General features: G+C 33.1%; 1 long non-coding RNA gene across 7 annotated transcripts in view; it reads left to right on the plus strand.

Annotated features, from left to right (window-relative positions):
• The window catches only part of LOC105374191 (uncharacterized), a 237,185-nt gene that overhangs the window by 99,316 nt on the left and 114,120 nt on the right, over positions 1-23,749 (plus strand). Inside the window, exon 1 of one of the 7 annotated variants that reach the window (XR_924661.3) lies at positions 15,414-15,594. The exons of the other annotated variants lie outside the window; for them this stretch is intronic. This is a non-coding gene — a long non-coding RNA (uncharacterized LOC105374191). Of the gene's footprint in view, positions 1-15,413; positions 15,595-23,749 lie in introns of those variants that run through there. 7 annotated transcript variants of the gene reach the window in all.

Below are 23,749 nucleotides of genomic sequence, written 5' to 3' on the forward strand. Positions count from 1 at the left end.
ATAAAATTTGTCTAAGTTCATTTTGTTCTTATTTTTTCCTTTTTGTTAAGCTGGTAGATTGTTATCATTTCTTTCTTTGTTCCTAAATAATAGATTTAGAACTCTATGTATGTGATACTTATTTATTTCTGCCCCAATCACTCTTTTAAAATCTGTTCTGTGCTTGAGACAAAAACAGGAAAACTGCATGTCCCCAACATTGTTACTACCTAGTTTCTTATTCGGTTCAGGATGGGAGGCACTGAGGAAAGATTGAAGCAAATAATGAAGCAAGAATGTACTTGCTTCTTTTCCACCTCTGGAAGACATCCCCTAGAAGCTAAAGATAGGTACAGCTGCAGTCTGGGCTCCCATGGGCACTCCAAAAATCACCATCCCATGTTTCCCTAAGGGTCAGTAGATAGTTCCTCATGGCATCTGAGGACATGTGTGGTCCCCTCATCTAAGCAACTATATTCTGAAAGCACCAATCCTTTTATTTTTCCTCTTGTTATAGGGTTTGTAGCTATATCTTCATTACCACTTTCTCCACTTAAAAAGAAAAAAAAATAAGCCTTTCATAATCTGAGTCAATAATTGATTCCTTTCATTAAATCTACTTTGTTTAAAATGCCTCTGGTAGTAGAATTTAAAGTTCACTTTGATATTTTTTTGTTTTTACATTTCACTTTTATTGATTTTATTATCTTGAAATATTTTCATTCTGAATTTTTTTTCTCATTGTTACCTTTCAATTATGCCCATGAATATTTATTAATGATTTTTCTACCTGGAATTAGAAACGTTGGCATGTTGCATGAATGAGAATAGTAAAAATATAATAATTTAAAAAATAACCGCCCTTTTTTAGAGAATACTATATGCTAAGTATAATCTCTTTTTAGAAATATTATTCCATTTAATCTTTATAACAACCTTGTGCAATTATTATTTCTCAGTGTTAAGGACAGAGGAATTGTGGTCAGAAGTAAAGTGAATTAAGTTCACAGCACTAAGGATTGGTAGAAACTGCTTTTAACCACTGATGTGTTCACTTGAACCCTCTGCTTTTCACCACCAGGAGGAAATGCTAGCAGACTTGCAACTTCCAACCAATAATTGTTAAGCCTCCAATAAGACACAAGCATATCCTCATGCTTCTATTTCAGAGTATGGCCTTTTAAGTAGCATTTTGAAATACTAACATGTTCCAATGAAAGCTTGAAATTTGTAACATCAATTTTCTCAGACACATTTCTACTTTAGATAAAAATGGTAAAACTTAAGCATGCAAATGAAATTTAATATTACATTATCACAGCTCAAGAATTATGATATGAAATTTTAAAAATATGAAACTCTTACCCTCAAATTTCTGAACCACTTCTGTGGAACATTGTTTGTTTAATTTAGAAGGCATTTTTAAATGTTTAAACATTTATCAACAAAATAAACATTTACATTACAATACAGCCAGGATAAACATTCCAAATAATTGAGGGGTTAAACAGATGAAGAGTGGTTTAAATGTAATAGTAAGCATTTTATTTAATTTACAAGCATTATAGACTTATTGAAAATAGAATTTTTAGAAATATTTTAAGGATTAGTTTAAACAAATTGCGAAAAGAGAATTTTAATAATTTAAAAATCCATATGCATATATAAAAAAATTGCCAATATACATTGAAGTGAAAAATTCTACAAGTAAACTATAAATGGTAGCCTGTAATGCAATTGCATTAGGTCACTTTTCTACAGTTCTAAGCAGTCTTGATTTTCTATTAACTGTGTAAGAAGACTTTACATTCAAAACAAGTAAAAGGTAGGGTTATAATCTTCTAGAAATAAGGAGGTGCAATTAGTTTAGAAGTATATTTAAAAGTGTACTTAAGTATAGTAAAGTTCTCTGTTATGATCAGAATTAGTAGAGAAGCAGCAATTACTGGAATATAAATGGTAGCTTTTTGTGTATTGTAATAGACCAATAATTTGCCCTTAATTTTGACGTTTATAAAATGATGGAATATAAAAATTACTCCCACATTATTCCACATTGGATCAAAAATTAAAAGCATAAAACTTTACGTGATGGCCAATAACTAATTTATTGATGATTTTTACTTAAAAAAAAACAAAATATTGATCTGGAGTGCCTAAATATTTGATGCCATAAATCCAAAGAAACATCAGTGAATCAGATTAGTTTATACCAAGACTTTTCTCTAGTTTTCCATTCAGCTCTTTGGGGAGCTGTATGTATTCATTGGAGTTACTAATATACTATTCCAAAGGACAGGTGTAATGTTTCAGTGTTCCTTCATTCATTGCTAAAGTTAATTCCTTATTTGCAACTGGATAATATTTATACATTATGAAAATCTGGCTCAATAAATATTAGAGGATTGAGAATATTTACTTCCTAATATAAGTATTAACTCCAAAGTATAATATGCTCTCTACAAAGTCTTCACACTATTTTATTTCTCCTCTCTTTCTCTGCTGTAGGTAGGAACATAAGCAAAGTTCAGTCATAACTTACCATGTCCCCAGGTTAACGGGAAAATCAATAGATACAACTAATGTTAAGAACATTTAAATGCAGCCACTACCTTTGATAGGATTCTTACACAATATCTACACCAAAAAATACTTGAATACAATCGTGTGTTGCTTAATGACAGAGATATGTTCTGATAAATGTGTTATTAGGTGATTTTATCAAAGTGTGAACATCATAGAGCACATTTATGCATACCTAGATGGTATAGTGTACTACATACCTAGGCTATATGGTGTAGCCTATTGCTCTTAGGCTACAAACCTGTACAGCATGTTACTGTGCTGAATGCTATAGGCAATTGTAACCCAATGGTAAGTATTTGTGTATCTAAACATATAAAAAGTATTATGTTGTGCTAGGATGTTACAATGGCTACAGCATCAGTAAGTGATAGGAAGTTTTCAGCTCCATTATAATCTTATGAGACCACCGTGGCATATGTGGTCCATCATTGGCCAAAAGATGGTTATGAGGCACATGACTGTATTAATATAAATCCCAAAAGCTAGCTTATATTTTACCAAATTAAACATACATAATACAGCACATTGTAGAGTTTACAATTTCTGATACACAGGGAGTTGGCAACAGTGAACTGGCCAGAGGTTTTGAAGGCAGTGTTTATTGACTTTTCTCCTCATCCTTAGTGTGTATTATCCATCCACACTTTGCCATGTAAAAATATAGTACTTGTCTCTCAGGCTCAACTATTAATTCTTAAAATATGTCTAACTTTGTTGCTACGACAAAGACATTAATCTATCCTTCTTTTCCCTTCTCTCTCTATTTTCCAAAATGCAAAACTAAAGTCATTAATTTCTCTATCTAAACAGCAGGCTTTATACCAGGAAAACGACCAAACAAACAAATAAGCAAAAAACAAACAACAAACCACGAGAAACAGAAACACTTGAGTAATAAGACAACTTCAAAGATGCATTGGGGAAAATGAGAAGAAAAGTTACCAGATTCAACCATAAGTTTTGAAAATTCATAAATAACTCCTCACTCACAGTGATGCATGTCGCCAGCATTGACGGCTTCCTTCCACTGACCTCCACAAAGGATATCAAAAAGTCTACTAATATGTGTCTATACATCTGCTCTGTATGAAAGTTGGCGATCAGAAAAGTAACACCATTTCACTCACTAGTTTCCTTCAAAAGATAAAGAAGTTCTCTGCTGGCATCATCACGATGCATGCATTGCTACCGGGTCAATCTTCATCTTCTGCAATAGTGTGATCACTATTGACACCTGAATTGCTTCTCAAGTTATACCTTCACTTTTTTCCAGGGGTACGATTCTTAGCAGGAGGCTACTGTTGTGACTACCACTTCCCCAGGATTTAATTTATCTGTATAGTGGTCCAGCAGAGTATGGGTTGACGAATCCTGCATACAGCCTTCACAGATAATTGCTGCCTAACACCTGTTCGCTAATACATTTGCTGTCAATTCTTGACATTTCTCCTTGAACTTCCCATTTACACATTATGCTCGAGATTAGTATGGTTCTTGAGCCTCAGAAAAGTACACACAGTGCTTCTATCCTTTTCCCTTAAAACCAGGTTTGTTTTCATGGAGCCTTATCATACTAGATTTATTTAGGCACTTGACCTAAATCTTGCCTCCTTCTGGCTTGTCATGTATTGCCTTTCTAATGTCTCCAATTTTCAATATATAAGATAAGAATTTTAATTACTACTATCAAGACATTTTTCACCTTTAAAATTGCTCCATATTTCTGTAAACATTTTCATATATATTTCCTCTGCTACCTTTACCATCTCTCTGCTTATCTTCACTTCATTCCACTCTTTCTTCCTTTTTATCTTACTGAATAGTGCATATTCTGCACATTGGTTTTTATTCCATTCTCTGGCAGTACATTCTTCTTCATTTCTGTTGAAGGGGTCAGGAAACATTTTCTATAAAGGACCAGATAATACATATTTTAGGTTTTGCAAGCCATGCCAAATAGTCTATGTCACAAATCTTCAACTTTGCCTGTGAGTGCAAAATTAGCCACAGACAGTATTTAAATGGATGACCATGGCTGTGTTCCAGTAAAACTTTATTTACAAACATAGATGACAAATTGTAGTTTCCTGGCCCGTACTCTATACCATATGCTTCTATTTGAAGGGGAAGAATAAATACACTTTCAGGATATTTGATTAGTGTAATGAAACATTACTAGAACACCAATCACGTTTTTCCCCAATGAACAAAATCCTCTCTTTGCTAGGACTTTTTGGATTCTTCTTTAAAATAAACAAACTAAAACAAGGACAGCAACAAAAATAAATGTTCAGTTGTATAACAGGGATCAAAGTAATCATAGTTCAAGTTCATTAAAGTTCCATAATGACCTGCAACCATCATACAATCGTGGAAAAAGAACATGTGACATCTAATTTTTCAATGGGAAAAATAAATCTGTCAAACAATTGCTCTGGTAACACCAGTTCTGTATCCAAAGCATCATTATCTCTTGAAAAATTTATTTAAGTATGAAAATAATCTTTTATTCTTCCACACGCTATTTTTTCCTATTTATTTGTTTGCCTAATTGCTACCTTGCTGGCTTTCAATTTCTCCACCATCATTGTACTGACATTTAAGCAGCAGCAGTCTTCCAAGACTTAAAGGGCTTTTGAATTACTCTGCATTTAAAGAGTGATGGTAGGTAAATCTTACAAGGAAGAAAAACAAGCAAAACAAAACAAAACAATCACCTCACACTGAAACCAATTCCCCCAATCTATTTATTTCTTTATTTATTTAGAACAAAGATTAATTCACATGATATCATGATTAGATTTATGCTGACAATTTATAGAAGCTATCTACCTTCTCCATATTTGCTATTTGGTTTAGTGTGTAGTTAAATGCTATAAATGCTACCAAATTTAAAAGGTAGGAAATAGTAGTTTATGAATAACAGCTGTATTGGCTGGCTTTTATACTAAATTAAATAAAAATTCCTCAAAGTAGATTTGTTTTTCCAATTCTGTACTCCAAGTGCCTTATACATAGTAGCATTCAGAATGTATTAATTGAAGTAATAAGTCAAAAACTTTATAGAATAAATTTTTATTAAATATGCATCTCCCTTGATGTAGTTTGTGATTGTATAATATAATCTGAAGACTCTTGCTAACTTTCTCCACCCTATTGCATAAAAGTAAACAATGATGCCATCTTACTATTCCACATGAGTTACATATCCAGTTATTAGTAGAGATGCTATTCTTTTGAGTGTTATGTGAAGAAACTAAGAGCATCTTCTACAGAGTTAACTGATAAATTGCACAGGTACTTTCTAGAAGTAAAGAAGATTTCAGGCTAGTATTTTATATCCAGATTATTATGTAACACTATATGTCACAGTAATTCAATATTCTTTAAAAATGAAAACCCTTAATTGAGTAGAGATAAATTTTACTCTAGATATAGAAAGGAGAGCAGCAGTGACAAATCCTGGGTAGCTGCTATTCATGGCGTGCCTCAGAGTAATTTAAGAATGACTGGAGTAATACAAATTAAAAAGAGATACCAAAATCTTTTCACTACAAAACGTTTCCTGTGATGTGATGGTTTTATCCAATTAATAATATTATTAAGGAAACCTGGGAGAATTTTAAGTAAATCCCAATGTACAGATATTGAAGTTCAGGAAATCACTAATTTAGATCTACTCTTATTTGTGTTTCAAAGTTTTAGGTATACTTTTAAGAAAATATCTTGATATTTGGTCTGAAGGGTAGGGCTTTTTAGAGGAAATTTAGTATTCTAACAAGACTTTTTTTAGAGGAAATTTAGTATTCTAACAAGACATTTGTCTTTGTTTAAGGTCATCCTTACAACTTTGAAGAGAGAACATGCTGACAATTTATGAAGAAAATGTTGTCTAACTACCCATAGAATAGGGCAAACTTACATTACCTGTCAAAGCTACACTGAGAAATGGCAGGAAAAGACAACAGTACAGAGAGTGTATCTATACTCTTGTAATTATTTTCCCTTATGCTGAATATGCCACTAGAGAGTTAGAAAGAATCAGACTACTTCCCTGAATGGAAAATTAACAATGATGACTCTAACAAAGATGTGTAGGTTGCTATTTCAATTATTTTGAAAAAAAACCATAGTCTTAAGGTATATCAATTTATTCATTAATCACATAATCTAATTGGAAAAAATGCACTGAAGCACATCTTCAGTATAAGGACAGTTATTACAAATGCCCAGAACAGTATTTGGATTGCTATAAATGACCAATAAATAAATTTGATTTAATTGAACAACTGAATCTACTTAAAATTGAATGGGTTGCCTTGAGTGTTGGTAAGGTTTTTTGTTACTACAATTATCTTATTATTGGAGGTATTAACAGAAATTCTGGGTGACTATCTTTAATGTATGAAACGTAAAAAATTCCTTCACTGAGTGTGAATTTGAACTAGATTGCCTGCCCAGTCATTTCTTATTCTGAGAATTGCAGTGCTAGTAAGAGCCTAATAATTATGATGACTCATGTAAAGTTAATCAGATGAGATATTATGCTCTGAATATACGGACAGAATGATAATACAGAGAGAATGTCTGTGTACATATATGTACCCATTTTACTTATGATGACATTAATATCTATATAGTTAAGCATAACTTTCATATACCATTAGATAGTAAAGAATAGATAATTAAGTTCACTTACAGATTACTAAAAACTGACTCTCTATGAATCAAAACTATTTGAATTAGATGATTCCTTAGAAAGCACGTATTCCAATTGTGTAATCTTATGATGGAGGAAATGATGTGCAGAGGACATGTGCCATGTTCAAGTCTCCACTCTAATACTGACCACTGGTTCAGTGCTATTTCCTTTTTAAATAGTATTTTACTAATATGTCCAATACATTTTTATTACCTGCTCTCGATTCTGTGTTTTGGATTTTGAATGAGTAGATCTTTTCATTTTTGGAAACCACATTTTTCACTTAAAATATCATATACTGTCATAAGTATATTTTTATTTTGATGAAATGAAGTAAGAGGAAATAGTGAATAAATAAAAAGGATTATTATTCATAAGTTTAAATAAATGGAAAATGAATATCCAATAATAACCTTGAGCTACTTGAATTCAGCTGTATAAGAGGCCAACTTGCAGATTACAAACGTGACTAGATTCAGCAAGTTTGCAGGTATGAAAAATTTTAATGATTACATGGCAATGGAAGAAATGTTAACATCCATTAAAATTATGTGTGAAACAAATTCTAATAGCTAAATGGACATTGAAATTAAGGTACAACAAATCACAATTCCTCAAAACCAATGCAGGAAAAGAAGAAATATTAATTCATTAAGCATCAAGTTGTGAATATTGCCAGACCAAACATGAATGGAATCTCTTATATCTACTGCCTAAATTAACCAAACAAGGTTAGCTGTGTATCTAATAAGGTTTCACAAATCTTATTGAAGTTTATTATATTGGAAAGTGACATTTCAAGGTTGTAACAATTTGGAACTGACTCAACCCTTTGATCTCATCTGTGACTTATCTGGATTCCACACTATCTTTAGCTTGACTATATTACAGATATCCTGATGATCTCTTAACCTTCCCTAGTCAGGAAGAATTTTCTCTTAAACTTTTAAAAATTTTGTCACAAAGGCATCTCTCTCTCTCTCTCTCTCTCTCTCTCTCTCTCTCTCTCTTTGGTTTATTTGTATATGAGATGGACTGACATAGCATGCTAAAGATCAGTCACAAGAGGCAGTGGTATAAGTGGTTGCCAAATCAGCATCAAAATGAAGTACAGCTATGTTAACAAACACAAAAGAAGTAAAACCATACTGAGATTTATATGTAAAAACTGAAACAAACCAATGAGGAATTGAATAGAAAGTGTTCCTAGAGGAATAATTCTAACTTACATTTATGTACTTTTTGCAGCATTTATTTATTGCCTCTGGGGCTCCACTTCCCAACAGGTATGTGACTCCAAAGCATAGTTAGTGGGTCAAGGCTATTTAAAGGGCTAAGGCTGACCAACACCTGCTGCTTGCCACTTCAAATTCTGCTGATTGTGGCTACTGTAGTGCGAAGCTCCATGCACATTTAAACCAATGTTGCAGAGATGCAACCTCATCTCAGGCCTCAGTGTGTGCCTCTCCCTTCTTGTTGCAGGCCCTCTCTCAAGTGCCCCTGAGCAGCATGAAAATCCACTAAGTACCCATGACATGTGCAATTTGGAAGTGGGTGCTCCTAGCCCATGGGGATACTCTTGACCAATGGAGAGCAGAAGCCAATAAATAAACAAGTACTACCTCCTTTTGTACACCAGGTGGAAAGTTTGTGCCTTGGCCTCAGTAGCTCTCAGTAGTGGCCATCATGACAAAATGCATCCTTCTTTCTGTGTCCATCATTTCCACTCCCTGTTTTCACTTTCCAAATAAACTATCTCTATCTGCAACTCTTTTTCTCGGGGTCTACTTTGGGGTATCCCAGTCTAAGACAGCCAATATTTATCCCCCTACATCCTTAAGTGTAGTTAAGTTGTTCTGCAGTTGACTAGAGCCCCCTTGTCAATCATCTACTGATGAAAGCAGACCCAACTCTTTACACCAGTGTACTGTGTAGACAATATAATTTTTCAAGCATACTATGTGTATTAGTTTGTTTTCAAGCTGCTGATAAAGACATATCCAAGACTGGGTAATTTACAAAGAAAAAAGAGGTTTAACGGACTCACAGTCCTAAGTGGCTGGGGAGGCCTCACAATCATGGCAGAAGGTAAAAAGCACATCTCACATGGTGGCAGGCAAGAGAGAATGAGAGCCAAGCAAAAGGGGGAACCCCTTATAAAACCATCAGATCTCATGAGACTTAGTTCCACAAGAACAGTATGAGGGAAACTGCCCCTATGATTCAGTTATCTCCCACCAGGTTCCTCCCATAACATGTGGAAATTATGGGAACTACAATTCAAGATGAGATTTGGGTGGGAAAACAACCAAACCATATCACCATGACATGAAAAGTTTCAAAGTTTCTGATAAACTAAACATATGATGACTTGCTATTATTTATAGAACTCATAATTTACAAATAACTAAGCAAACCACAATTTATATAATTTCATTTCTGAAAATAAAATGCTCTTGGTTATTATTCTATCCAATTAAATCCATTACTGATTTAGAGGGTGATGTGGCTAACAGAGTAAGAAAAAAATAAATTGAATGTACAAGGAGCATAATGACAAGGCATGAACGTGAACAAGGGCACAAACCACAGTGTAATTGTGAAACATTTTGGAGTTTAGCTGAAATGTGATTTAGTATTACCTAGTCATTACCATGTAGAAAAACTCATCTGTAGTTTTTGCACTGTATTTGCATCATATTTTAAATTGTATTTTAAAATGAAAACACTCATTATTCTTATGGGAAAAGAGCAAAACCCTATGGCATAACCACATTATACCTTTCTATCTTGCTTTCACTTTTTATATGAACTAATGGTTTGAAAAGGTGACTCTCAAATACTCTAGAACTGCTACTGACTTTCTTTAAAGTGATGTCTTCTGATACATGAAGTCCTATGAAAGTTTTCTTTCAATGTATGAGTTGTAGGACAATGCATTCATACTCTATGAAAGGATGACATTTTCACATAAGAAAGAGGTATACACATAGGTAGTTACCCCTTCCTATACCTATCAATAAATTTTAACTAAATATTTTTAAAATAGATATTTTTGGTTAAAAAAGCATATGAAAAGCACACAGTAGTTGTTTTTTGTTTAATTTATAAGATTTTATGAATAAATTTATAAATATTCACTTTTTTCTTCCCTTCCCCTTTTCCCCTGCATCATTTTAAAAACACTAGACTATAATCCTTTTGATCTAAATTATGTTGCCAATAGAAACATATATATGTCATTTTTCATTATATTTACAACCTGGTTTCCTATGACTCGTTCTGCTGTCTCTAGGATGGGTATATATATATATGCGTATTCACTTATAATTAAAGGTGAAAAAACATATTTAATGCAAATATCTGTTACAACAAGCAGTTTTCATAAAGATACAGTAAATAATTTAGACTTTTCAAGTGATATATACTATTTTGCAGCTACTCAACTCTGCTATTGCAGTATGAAAGCAGCCATAGATAATATATAAGCAAATAAGTGTACCTGTGTTCCAATAAAACTTTATTTACAGACCCTGAAATGTGAATTTTGCATAATTTTCACATATCAACATATGATCGTTTGATTTTTTTTTCAGCCGTTTACAAGTATAAAAATCATGGGCCATGCAAAAATTGGAGAAAGACAGAATTTGGTCCATGGGCCATAAGTTGTTGACTACTGTGCAATATGATAAATATAGATACAGATAGACACGCATTTGTGTGTGTGTGGCGGGGGGGAGAGAGAAAGGAACTAAAAATCTAGAAATAATACTATATTTTAATCACAGTTGCATTTCTAGTGAATTCCTATAGCTTAGTGCATTACCTAACATCTAACAAATACATAGTAATGTTTTGACTATATATAAAAGAAGGAAATAACAAACTGTTGTATTGTTAATTACATCAGTGTTTGCCAGGCACTGTGGCTCACTCCTGTAATCCCAGCACTTTGGGAGGCCGAGGTGGGTGAATCACCTTAGGTCGGGAGTTCGAGACCAGCCTGACCAACATGGAGAAACCCCATCTCTACTAAAAATATAAAATTAGCCGGGTGTGGTAGCGCATGCCTGTAATCTTGGCTACTCAGGAGGCTGAGGCAGGAGAATTGCTTGAACCCAGGAGGCGGAGGTTGCGGTGAGCCGACATGGTGCCATTGCACTCCAGCCTGGGCAACAAGAGTGAAACTCCATCTCAAAAAAAAAAAAAAAATCACTAAGCTAGAAAAGAAATTATTAGGTACAACTGTTAACAATAAGAAATTATTAGTAAAGAATCAAACCATTGAAGATAGCTAACTCTGTCAGAGTTGGTTTTTTTAGTTTTTTTTTTTTGTTTTTTTTTTTTTTTTGAGGTGGAGTCTTGCTCTGTCACCCAGACTGGGGTGCAGTGGCACAATCTCTGCTCACTGCAAGCTCCGCCTCCCGGGTCCACGCTATTCTCCTGCCTCAGCCTCCCAAATAGCTGAGACTACAGGCGCCCACCACCATGCCCAGCTAATTTTCTTGTGTTTTTAGTAGAGACGGGGTTTCACCCTGTTAGCCAGGATGGTTTCGATCTCCTGACCTCGTGATCTGCCGGTCTTGGCCTCCCAAAGTGCTGGGATTACAGGCATGAGCCACCGTGCCCGGCCCAGAGTTTTTAAATTAAAAGAAAAAAAAACATATTACTTTAACTTATCTACTTTTGTATACCATCTTTGACATGGCTTTTATACATCCAAATACTTGTATTTTGAGCATTTCTAAGTGAGCATTCTAGGATAAGAACATTTTTAATTGAGCATCTTTATATTTATGGCTAATATAAATCCAAACATTCTCTTCTTTTTGCATTTAAATTTTTTTCTCCATCTTACCTATTTGTTATCATTTATGTTTTTATTTTGGTTTATTTAGTTTTATTCTTTCAATATTCTTTTTGAACATGGTGACCCAAGCTGATTGCAATATTCTACATCGTAGTACAAACAACAAAAAGATATTAACTTAGTCTTTCTGCATTACTGTCATATAATTTCATTATTTTGTTTTATATTGAATTTTTTTCTCAGGAACATTCTATGCTTTACCTGCTACTTAGATAAAATCTCAAATATCCCAATATATTTATTACTAACATGCTTTCTTCAGCCTCTATATTTACTTTTTTAGGGTAATTTTTTTTTTAATTTTTGTTTCTCTTTTTGTTGTTTTGCTTTTTGGTGTCTAGGTATATGGTAACTAGTAAGCAATAGGAAATGATCCACAACATTCAGATGCGTGGTTAATTTCCTTTACTTTCTTTCTCAAATTAAATTCATTTCGGGGACCCACTGGCTAGAGTGGCAGAAAGCTTGATAGCTTTTCATCTTAAAGATTATTTCTTATAATCCATTTCCAAATAATTTTCACATTCCAAAAGATATCGAATCATTTCCATACGCAAGCAAAGATGGCTTTGGTTTTCAATCAACCCATGGCTACTCTTACATATAGCTGTCAAAATGTGTTGTTGTTGAGCACTAAACTTTCCTAGTCTGACTGCTGCAGTCAAGATCCTGATGCAGTTCTATCTTGCTTGACCTGATCTAGGCAGAGCCTAGAGCAATCTTTCACTGGAATCTTGAAACTGATTCCAGTGGCAACTCCACTCATTCCTTGTCAGAGTCAACTTAGATTGTTCCCTAAGTTCCCAGGGAGATATTCCTTAGGTTTCAGTTCTTTCAAATGCATATAATCCTCTAAGCTGCTTGGCACCTCAGAAGTGTATGTTTAGCTGTTCACCTTGCAAATTTACAGCAGTTACTGTTTTTATAAGCTTGGTTATCAAACTAAGGATTGGGAAGCTTTCTCTTTCTTATTATGAAACTCAAAAAGTGCTCTTTCACCTTGCCTCCTTTCCCAAAATGGTAGAGATCAACTGACTTCTTCGTGAGGCTGAACACTATCAAAGATTCCAAAAAGAGAAAAAGGTAACTTTCCAGGACTTATTTACTGCAAGTAGAAAAGAACAAAACAGCAGACAAGGAAGAAATATGCATAAATTGAGTTCTGTTTCACTAAATTGTCCACTATATTAATTGTTAATAAGTGATGATTGAATGATTGAAATTTCTAAAAGTAAAATTTACTGTTAGATTTCAGACCATCTATATTTAAGAATTAAATGTGAGACATTAAATATATCATATAAATTATATATTTAAATGTATATATAATATACATTATATATTTAATGTCTCACATTTAATTATATAATACGTGTGTATGTGTGTGTGTGTGTGTGTGTGTGTGTGTATATGGTGAATTTTACAAAACTACAGGGAAAAAATTTCCATGTCAGAAATTCCTACAGTTACAGTGAGAACTGCTGTGAAGCTAGACTGTTTTTCAGAAGTATACCTTGTGACAACTGCAGAAATGAAACTTTTTATTAGCATTCATAAAAGCTATAGAAAGTTTTAATTGAGTTGTATGACTTATTCCAAAGCACACTTATTTAAATATATCTGTCAATAAGTTACTAAAATAATTATGAATACATTTAATTAAAAAAAATTTAATTTTTATGGGCACATAGCATATGGATATATATATATGGGGTACATGAAATATTTTGATACAGGCATACAGTGCATAATAATCACATCAGGGTAACATCTAACTTTATAGACTTTTAATTCACATTTATAAGCTTCATACTTTTTTGTGCTTTCTTATATTCAGTTTCCATTCGGTGTATGATGAAGACTTATTCTTATTTCCTAACTTCCATTTTTTCACAGCTTTTTATTGATATGTATGTAAAACAGAAAAGTGCACAGAAATAAATATACAGCCCAATGCATTTTCCCAAAAATGGAGACATCTGTATAATTAGCACTCAAATTAAGAAGAAAAATTATCTGCTTCTTAGAAGAGGTCTCATGCTCCTTTCACTCAATAACCCCCCTCCCATTGAAGATGCTCACTTTCTTTACTTCTAACCTATAAAATAGTTTGAGCTGTTTTATACTTTATGTAAATAGAATCATGCAGTGTGATCATTTAAGTTTGGATTCTTTCATGTAATTTTATGTTTATAAAATCTATCTCTATTTTTTTCAGGTAGTGTTATATCATTTGTGCTCATTGTTGCATAGTATTCCACTTCATTAATATACCATAATTTATTTATTCATTCTCCTAATAATTGTACACAAATTAGCTGAAACTTTAGGGTTAATAAAAATAGTGCTGCTACAAATATTTCAATACATGTTATTTGGTGAATATACACAGGCATAACTATTGGGCGTATACCTAAGAATAAACTGCTAGGTCATATGGTATTTATTTGTCAATATTTAGCAGATACCACCAAACACTTTTTAAAAGTGTTTGTACCAACATATTTTCCTATCAGTATTGCATGAGAGTGTTGGTTGGCTCACATTATTTTCTGCTTTCCCATTACCTTGAAGTGCATGCAGTGGTATCAGGTTGTGGTCTTAATTTGCATTTATCTGAAGACTAATGAAATTGCACAATTTTTCGGATGTTCATTGGCCATTTGGATATCTGCTTTTATCAAGCTATCTATTCAAGTGTTTTGTGCATTTCTTTCCATCAAGTTATCTGTGTTTTTATTAATTTGTGGCTCTGTATATGTATATAATGAGTTCTTTGAAGGATGTATATGTTGTTAATATTTTCTCCCAATTAGTAGATTACCATTTTCTTTTCTTAATGGTGTATTTTGTTAAATGTAAGTTTATTAATTTTAATAAAGTTTATTTTAGCTTTCTTCCATCATTGTCATAAATTTTGTATTGTTCCAAAAAAGTCTGCTCTTCCAAGGTCACTGAGAGTTTCTCCTATATTTTCCATTAAAAGTTTTCTTGTTTTACTTGTTTAAAATTTCAGTCCATCCTAAAATAACTTCTGTGTATGATGTGAGGGTAGTGGGTCAAGAGACTTTCAAAAATACCATCTTCTCCTCTTTTTTCTGAGACAGAGTTTCACTCTTGTCGCCCAGGCTGGCATGCAATAGTGCGAACTTGACTCACTGAAACCTCCGCCTCCCAGGTTCAAGCAATTCTCCTGCCTCAGCCTCCCAAGTAGCTGGGATTACAGGTGCCCGCCACCAAGCCCAGCTAATTTTTGTATTTTTTTTTTTTTAGTATAGACGGGGTTTCACAATGTTGGCCAGGCTGGTCTCGAACTCTCGACCTCAGGTGATCTGCCCACTTTGGTCTCCCAAAGTGCTGGGATTACAGGCTTGAACCACTGCGCTCAGCCCATCTTCTCCTTTTTACACTGCATTATTGCCTTTGGGATAAATCAGGTGACCACAGAAGTATGGTATGTTTTTGGACTCTTTCTTCTGTTCTATTGGCCACTTTGTCTCTCCTTAAACTAGCAAAATATTATCATAACAATGATATATTCTGATGTTATTTTATATAAGAAAATATGATACTTATAAATTAATGATTGTAATGAAGTAGAAAGAATTCTATATTTAAAATGTAAAAAAGTTTATTGTACATCGTTTTAACTTTTATATAGACCACTATGTAAGTATAGATTATTTTAAAGTCATAAAATGTAGATTAAAAATGCTATTCTAAAGCAAACCGTTAAGTGTACAATGTTCTATTTTTAAACTTAATCTTTTAGAAATGACTTACATTCTGTAATTTTTGACATGAGATATTACAGGTTTATGTTGTCCTTTCCCTTTCTCAATTTTAGAAGTAGCCATTTCTTCAAGGAGATCTGGTTCCTTTTAGTGGGAAACAAATTCAGAAACCAAGATTTCAGCACTTACTTTATTGCTGCTTGGTACTCTGTGGCCTTTTTACTGGACAAAATGAGGACAAAGATGTGTGTGTTTGTGTGTGTGTGCGTTTATGTGTGTGTGTAGCCGTATACTACGTAGATGAACACATGTGTACATAATTATGAATGATACATATGTATGTGTGTGTAAATATATATGTAATATATAAATATATATCTATTTTAAATATATTATATATGTACATATGTGTGTGTCTGTATTAGTTTACACTAATAACTTCAATTCTATCCCATCACCATAATCTTCATTCTAGGTTCCCTCCTTTTCAAACTTGTAATTGTTTTATCTAATATTGAGAAATCTATCTACTAATTATTTCTCAATCCCCTATACATAACCAACATTCTGACACCAACAGCTTACACTATATTTGTCTTACTTCCTCACATGGACCTCAAGACTCACCAGGCCTCCTTCTATGCTTGTCTGTTTAATGGCTTTTTGATGACATTATTAAAGAAGGGAGAAAGGAAGGAAATAAAGAGAAAAAAATCATATTTTTCTTCGAACAAATTTTGGAAGACAAATCTAATTTTGCTTCATGACACAATTAATGATGGAAGGAAAAATACGAAAAGGGAAAGAAACTGATGTAATCTATTTCTACTTCATGGAAAGGAATAATGTCTTTCTCCTGGTCTTTATTTTGTAATATTACTGTTGCTCTTGTTAACAGGCATCACAAATATTATCAGTGGTCACATTTTAATCTTGATTTTATCCTACTTTATTAAAGACTATCACACATTTATCAGCATCCAAAGCTTAATTTATTAAAAGACAGACCATACTCTCATCTTTTATAAGATTCTGAAATAGAGGTTGAAAAATTGAAATCTATATATGGCTTAGTGTTATTTTCTTGTGACCTGAAGCTGGAAATAATTACTAAGGTCCAAGCTCGTAAGAGCACACTGTACTTTTTTAAACAACTTGCTTTATTTCATTTCTAAAATCATCATCTTTGTCACTATTATTAGAAAATTAAGTTATTTATTCTTTCGGAAATTATATTAAAAAAACGAATAGGACATTACTGAAACAGAGTACCAGACTTCAAAAAGCTTTTTTTCTGCTCAAGTCATGCAATTATTAGTTAGGTTGGTGCTGGCTGTGTAACAAATTGATTCCAAAGTGTATCATGGTTCAAACATAATACTTTTTTAAACAAATTATTTTCCCAAGATGAGTTTCTCTAGTCAGCAACAGGATTTTCTCCCCATAATCACTTAGACTTACAGAGCTTCTCCAAGCTTCAAAATGTGGCTTACAAGTTCACCAACCATGATAGCCTCCTCTAGTTCAGCCAGAAGAAAGATAGATGGAGGGTATGTGGGACACTTCTATGGGACGAGCTTGGGAGTCACTGATCTCATTTGTTCTGCTCTTTTTCCACTGCCTAGAACTCTGTCACACAGCGACAAGTAAAAGCAAGGAAAGCTAGAAAATATAGTGTTGATGTATGCCCAGGGAAAGGAAAATGGATTCTGATGGATAGCTATCAACAGCTACCATAGCAATATGTTAAATGTATAAAAGGAAGACTTCTCTGGTTGAAACATGAAAGTTAACCCAGTACCAACCAGTAGACATTTCCCTCAGCCCCTTTAAAAAACAGCAAAAATAGCAACAAAAGCCTTCTCAAAACTCTTGGTTTTCTTAGAACGGTATTTGAAAATTATTACATTAAAAATGTACACATTTACTCAGCAATCCCATTCAGGGAACACTGTCGTATAGAAATAAAAATGTAATTCAAAAACAATTTCATTACGAATGTACCCATTGATTCAGCAATCACATTTCTGGGACTCCATACTATAGAAATAAAAGTGTATTTTTAAAACTATTGCATTAAACATGTACTCATTGTCTCAGCAATTCAATTCCTGGCACTCTATATCACAAAAAATAAAAGAATATCATATTAGAAAGCTCTGTTCTAAGTAATTTATTCTTTAGAATGTTTTATGTACCATTGTTTGTAGTAGCAAAGGCAAAAAATGAAATAAAAACAGAAAGAAAGTGAAAGTGCTTCAATACGGAAGCATTAGGAGAAAAGTTGCATAAATATTTCAAGATTATGAAATAGTATATGGCTATTCCTTAGAACTAAATGTCATATGGGTATCAGAATTTCTACACTGTGCCTTCACCATAATATAAGTGATAAAAGTAAGATATTTATCATTACATATGTGCCTGTTTTCCTAAAATAATGAGAAAATAACCAATGTTTCTAAATGTAGAGGGCATGTTTCTGGGAGTATTATATATATATATATAAATTATATATATAATTTATATATATATGATAAAATGTATGTTTAACCTTTTGTAGTCAACACTTTTTTGATTGAGGTCAGGTGAATACTGGAATTAGGAAACATAAAGACCACATGTTAATATAACTCAGTGTAAAGACAGCACTGAAAAAATAATAGATGAGATTTCAATGGGTGCATAAGCCTATATATATAATAAAATAAGTGGAGATATTCACTACAATTATGATGATGTGTGTATTAGAGTAATGCAATCGGTGGTAGGGTTTACTTTTTTTTAAACTTTATGCAGTCACTGATAAATACGGAAATGCTCCTACAAAGCCTTATCTATACATTTTATTTTCTTTTTTAATACCATTAATACAAACATTGCTGGGTTATAAAGAACCAGAAATAACATTCAAATCCTCTCATTTAAATTTCCCTGAAAAATTCCTATGCTTTTCATTGCTTTGAAGTAAGAACTTCTGATGCTTCCTACAATAAATCTCTCTTTGAATCCATTAAGTTTTAGGAACATGGTTTTTATATATAAATATACATATTCACATGTATATTTATACATAGATGTAGATACATATATATGTATGTCTTGCATTAGTTGATTGGTTCAAATAATTGAAATAGTTTACATAAATATGGCTATGGGATATATCACATAATTGGCTAAAACATAAGACATATATATGTAAAGAATATTTTAGACGTGGGTTTGTAGCAATAAGTATTGTGTCAATACTCTATTTGCAGAAGCTTTTCAAAGAACCTAATGGGCCGGGCGCGGTGGCTCACGCCTGTAATCCCAGCACTTTGTGAGGCTGAAGCGGGCTGATCACGAGGTCAGGAGATTGAGACCATCCTGGCTAAAACGGGGAAACCCGGTCTCTACTAAAAATACAAAAAAATTAGCCGGGCATGGCGGCGGGCACCTGTAGTCCCAGCTACTTGGGAGGCTGAGACAGGAGAATGGCATGAACCCGGGAGGCGGAGCTTGCAGTGAGCCTAAATCGCGCCGCTGTACTCCAGCTTGGGCGACAGAGCGAGACTCCGTCTCAAAAAAAAAAAAAAAAAAAAAAAAAAAAAAAGAAAACTAATAGACTCAAGGGCAGATTTTAATTTTTCACTGTTTGTCAATATGAAGAGAATGGTGTGTATAGCCTCTTCACATCCTAGATAATTTAGATGAATATTCTGACCTTCAATGAGGGTCTCTCATCACACTTCCATTTGCATATTTTAGAAAATTTTATTTGTATTTTGGTTTCTTTTCATTCAGTTGTTCCCTAGACTGAAAAGAGATCTATAACAGAATCTCATGACTTGATAATCCAACTCACTCTCAGAGGACTCAAATCTATCTATCTATCTATCTATCTATCTATCTATCTATCTATTTATCTATCATCTATCTATCTAGTCTTCACACCTAGGAGTTTTCCACTTTTAATCCAGCCATTTTAATTGAGTCAGAGATTAATTGAGGATTGCATTGCATAATCCTGGTTAGGATTCCCCTGGTTAAGATGTCACGGAAGAGTGGTCTCAAAGTCCCAAGCTGTTTAATATTTAAAGAGACTGATAGGAGGGGTTCTTTTTACCCTGAAATAGCAATTTCTCAAAAGAAGACATAGAATAACAAATAGGTATATATTTTAAATGCTTGACATCACCAATTATCAGGAAAATGCACATCAAAACCACGAAGATACATCATCTCACCTCAATTAAAAAGGTTATTTTTAAAAAGTCAGGCAGTAATGCATGCTGGCGAGGATGTGGAGAAAGGCGAGCACACTTTCACTGTTAGTGGGAATGTAAATTAGTACAATCACTATGAAAAAACAATATGGAGACTCCTCATAAAACTAAAAATAGAACTACCATATGATCCAGAAATCCTACTGCTGGAGATATAGTCAAAAAAAGAAATCAGTATATCAATGAGATATCTGCACCTCCATGTTTATTACAGCACTATCCACAATAGCGAATACATGGAATCAACCTAAGTGTCCTTCAACAGATAAATGGATAAAGAAAATGTGGTATATGCACACAATGAAATATTATTCAGCCATAAAAAAGAATGAATTCCTGTCATTTGCAGCAGCATGGATGGAATGGAGGACATTATGTTAAGTGAAATAAGCCAGACACAGAAAGACAAATATTGCATGTTCTCACTTACATGTGGAATCTAAAATAATTGAGTTCATGAAGGTAACAAATAGAATGGTGGTGTTCAGAGCCTGGAAAGGGTAGTGGAGAGTGGCAATAAAGAAGGGTTAGTTAATGGGTGGAAAAAATGCAATTAGAGAGAAGGAATAAGATTTAGTGTTCAATAACAAAATAGGGCAACTACAGTTAACAATAATTTATTGTGTATTTCAAAATAACTGGAAGAGAAGATCTGGGATGTTCCCAACACAAAGAAATGATAAATGTTTGAGGTGATGGATATACCGAATATCCAGATTTATTCATTACACATACATATATGAATAGATCACATGTACTTCATAAATATGTACAACTATTATGTATCCATAAAAATGAAAATAAAATAAATTAAAGGCGTAGATGCCTTATTATTGCTCCTGTAGATCTAAATGTCCTAAGGATAGATCAGGGAAAAAAAAATGTCGCTAGGAAAGAGATGTAAATCATGCTGGGGTAGTCACTGCAAGGTGTATAGGCAAACACTCATCTTTTTCTCAGTTGTAGCTGTGGTCTTAGGGAAAACACTTGAAATTTAAGAGTCCAAAATAATGTGAAATATAAATTAGAGATAATCTCAGTAAACATAGAAAAATGTTTTGAGAGTTCACTGTATCTTAGTGGAATGGCAACAACAAAAACAATGTCATATTAGCTAAGATGAGACTGATCTACCTCAGACAGAATCCCAGTGGCAGTGGGATTACATATTTGTTTTGGTGCTGCAACTTGGATAGTCCCTTAATCCAGCTTCACAGACTCTGTAATGGGGATGACAGCAACATATCATAAATAAAGTGTAGAAGCAATAACTGGTAATTCCAAACATTCTGGGAAAGACCTTGCTAAAGTCCCATTGCAATGTCACATAGGAGGCAATAACAGAGCCACCACAACATGAGGCACAGCAAAGAGAAAAGACATTCACATTAATTTGGAAGCAAACATCTGGGCATGATTTCTTATCATGTTACTTATCATGTTTCTCTACTTGACAGAAAAATGAAATTCATATTGCCTGTAATTTTATAAGAATTAAATGAGTTAATTCATGATATTCCTTTATAAGACTTTTGCAAGAACGTTGGAGACAAGGGAAGAAAATATGTGTGATACCCTGAAGAAAAAGATTTGTATAGAAAATGACATGACTTACCTGCTCATCCTGCTGACTCTTGGTCAAGAGCAGTAAACCCTTTCTATACCTGGAACGTTAAAACACCATTGATCCTGCTCTCTGAGAATCGCATCATCAAACAGCAGGGAAATATACTTAATGGTTAGAAAGCAGCTAAATCTTACTCTAAGATAGATGAAAAGAACTTCTTAGATTCAAATTGAGTGGCTCTACCTATGCATTAAAATAATGATTTACCACTGTTAAATGAAATGGCTGACAAAGAAAGAAATAAATTTGTTTTTTCTCTAAGGTTTCTTTTATCCAGGTGCTAGTGGATACCATAACCAATTAGATCTCATTTTCTATTTATATGAAGCAAATAGAGTTAAAAACAATGTTGTTTAGGGATGTTTTATATGGCAAAAGAAAGAATGAGAGACAAAGAAAAGATGAAGAATTATAATGTATATTAATAAAAATGAAAATACATAAAATATTCATAATTATTTTAAAATAATTCAAAAATACAAGAATCTTTCATGAAAATAACTAATAACAGATCTGAAACTTCACTTATCACTTACTTCAAAAAGCCTTCAATGGAAACTCCTTATAAATTAAATTAATTTTTAATATTCCTTTTGTATTTTTGTAGAGATAGTATTGTACACATTTGCTTTTTTTCTTCCAAAACGTTAACTTTACAAATGAGAGATGAGGTTACAAAACTCACGAACTAATGTCTACACATATTCATCTGTACCCATTTCCTGACTTACAGAGATCTAACATACATACTTATTAACAAAACTTACCCTACTAATTCAGCCTCTGCTGGCATGATCTCATCTGTTATTCTCACAAAAAAGAACCATCCTTTGTTTAGTAAATCCCTTTTCCACTCCCCTAGAGGACTGAAACATTGGTGTCATCAATTACTCCTCTTATTCCAACCCTCGTGAAATAACCACATTCTATTGATTCTATTCATAACACTATTTTAATCTACGCTTCCTTCCATTCCCATGGTCACCACCTTGGATCAAACATATTCTCCCATTACGGTGCATCTTGGTTTAAGAATTCAAACTCTTTGATCCTTAGGTTTGAATCTCTACTCTACCACTTAATAAATTTTGATACTGGGGAAATTCTTTAACCATAATGGGATTTATTTTTCTAATATTTGGAAAAATACAGCAATTATTATCTACAAAACAGGGATAATAGAGCATATTATATATATACAATAATTTACACTTATATTCTAGGTTGGCAAATAAACATAAAGTACATATTATTTATTGTTACATCCAAATTTAACTTTCTGCCGCCATTCTTTTTTGAAACCATGCTATCAATTTGATCTTTTGAAACTACCCGATAACTCAAATTTGCCTTTATTCTAATGTGACACATAAATAAAATCACAATTCCTTAGTTTAGCTTTTAAAGACTTCTGTATTTCCCAAATTTATAGCTTTATACTTTGTCATGTATTTGTTTAATATTGGTTGATCAATAACTATATAAAGTTTTGGGTCAGATTTGCAGAGGACCCAGAAAACCTTCCATTGCTTCTCTTCAATTTTTTTATATTCCATCTAAATGCTTTGCTGGCTCAGAATTTCTTGCTTTTATATCCTCCTTAAATCCTATGGACCTATTAAAATCCAAACAAATACAATGACCATCACTCTCACAACATGTTATCTGGGGAAAATATTTTCTGCATCCTGCACACTCTTACAAATATCACAGATCTCTATACTATTGTTGTTTAAGCAAAATCAGTTTACCCTATAAGACTGCAGGGTCTAGATTTAGGGCCCAGGAATTTCTGTCATATTGCCTTTGAAGAGTCCATGTTTACTTCCTTCTTGGCATTTATATAGTTCTGCAATGTTCTTATTAATTGTTCTTTTTTCTCTTTCCCTCACTAGAATGTAAGTTTTATAAAGATAATAAACTTGACTATCATATTCCCCAGCATTTTACTCATGCTAAACATAAATCCTGACCCATCCT

Source organism: Homo sapiens, chromosome 3 (genome assembly GCF_000001405.40).
Source record: "Homo sapiens chromosome 3, GRCh38.p14 Primary Assembly".
NCBI classification, from domain to species: Eukaryota; Metazoa; Chordata; class Mammalia; order Primates; family Hominidae; genus Homo; species Homo sapiens.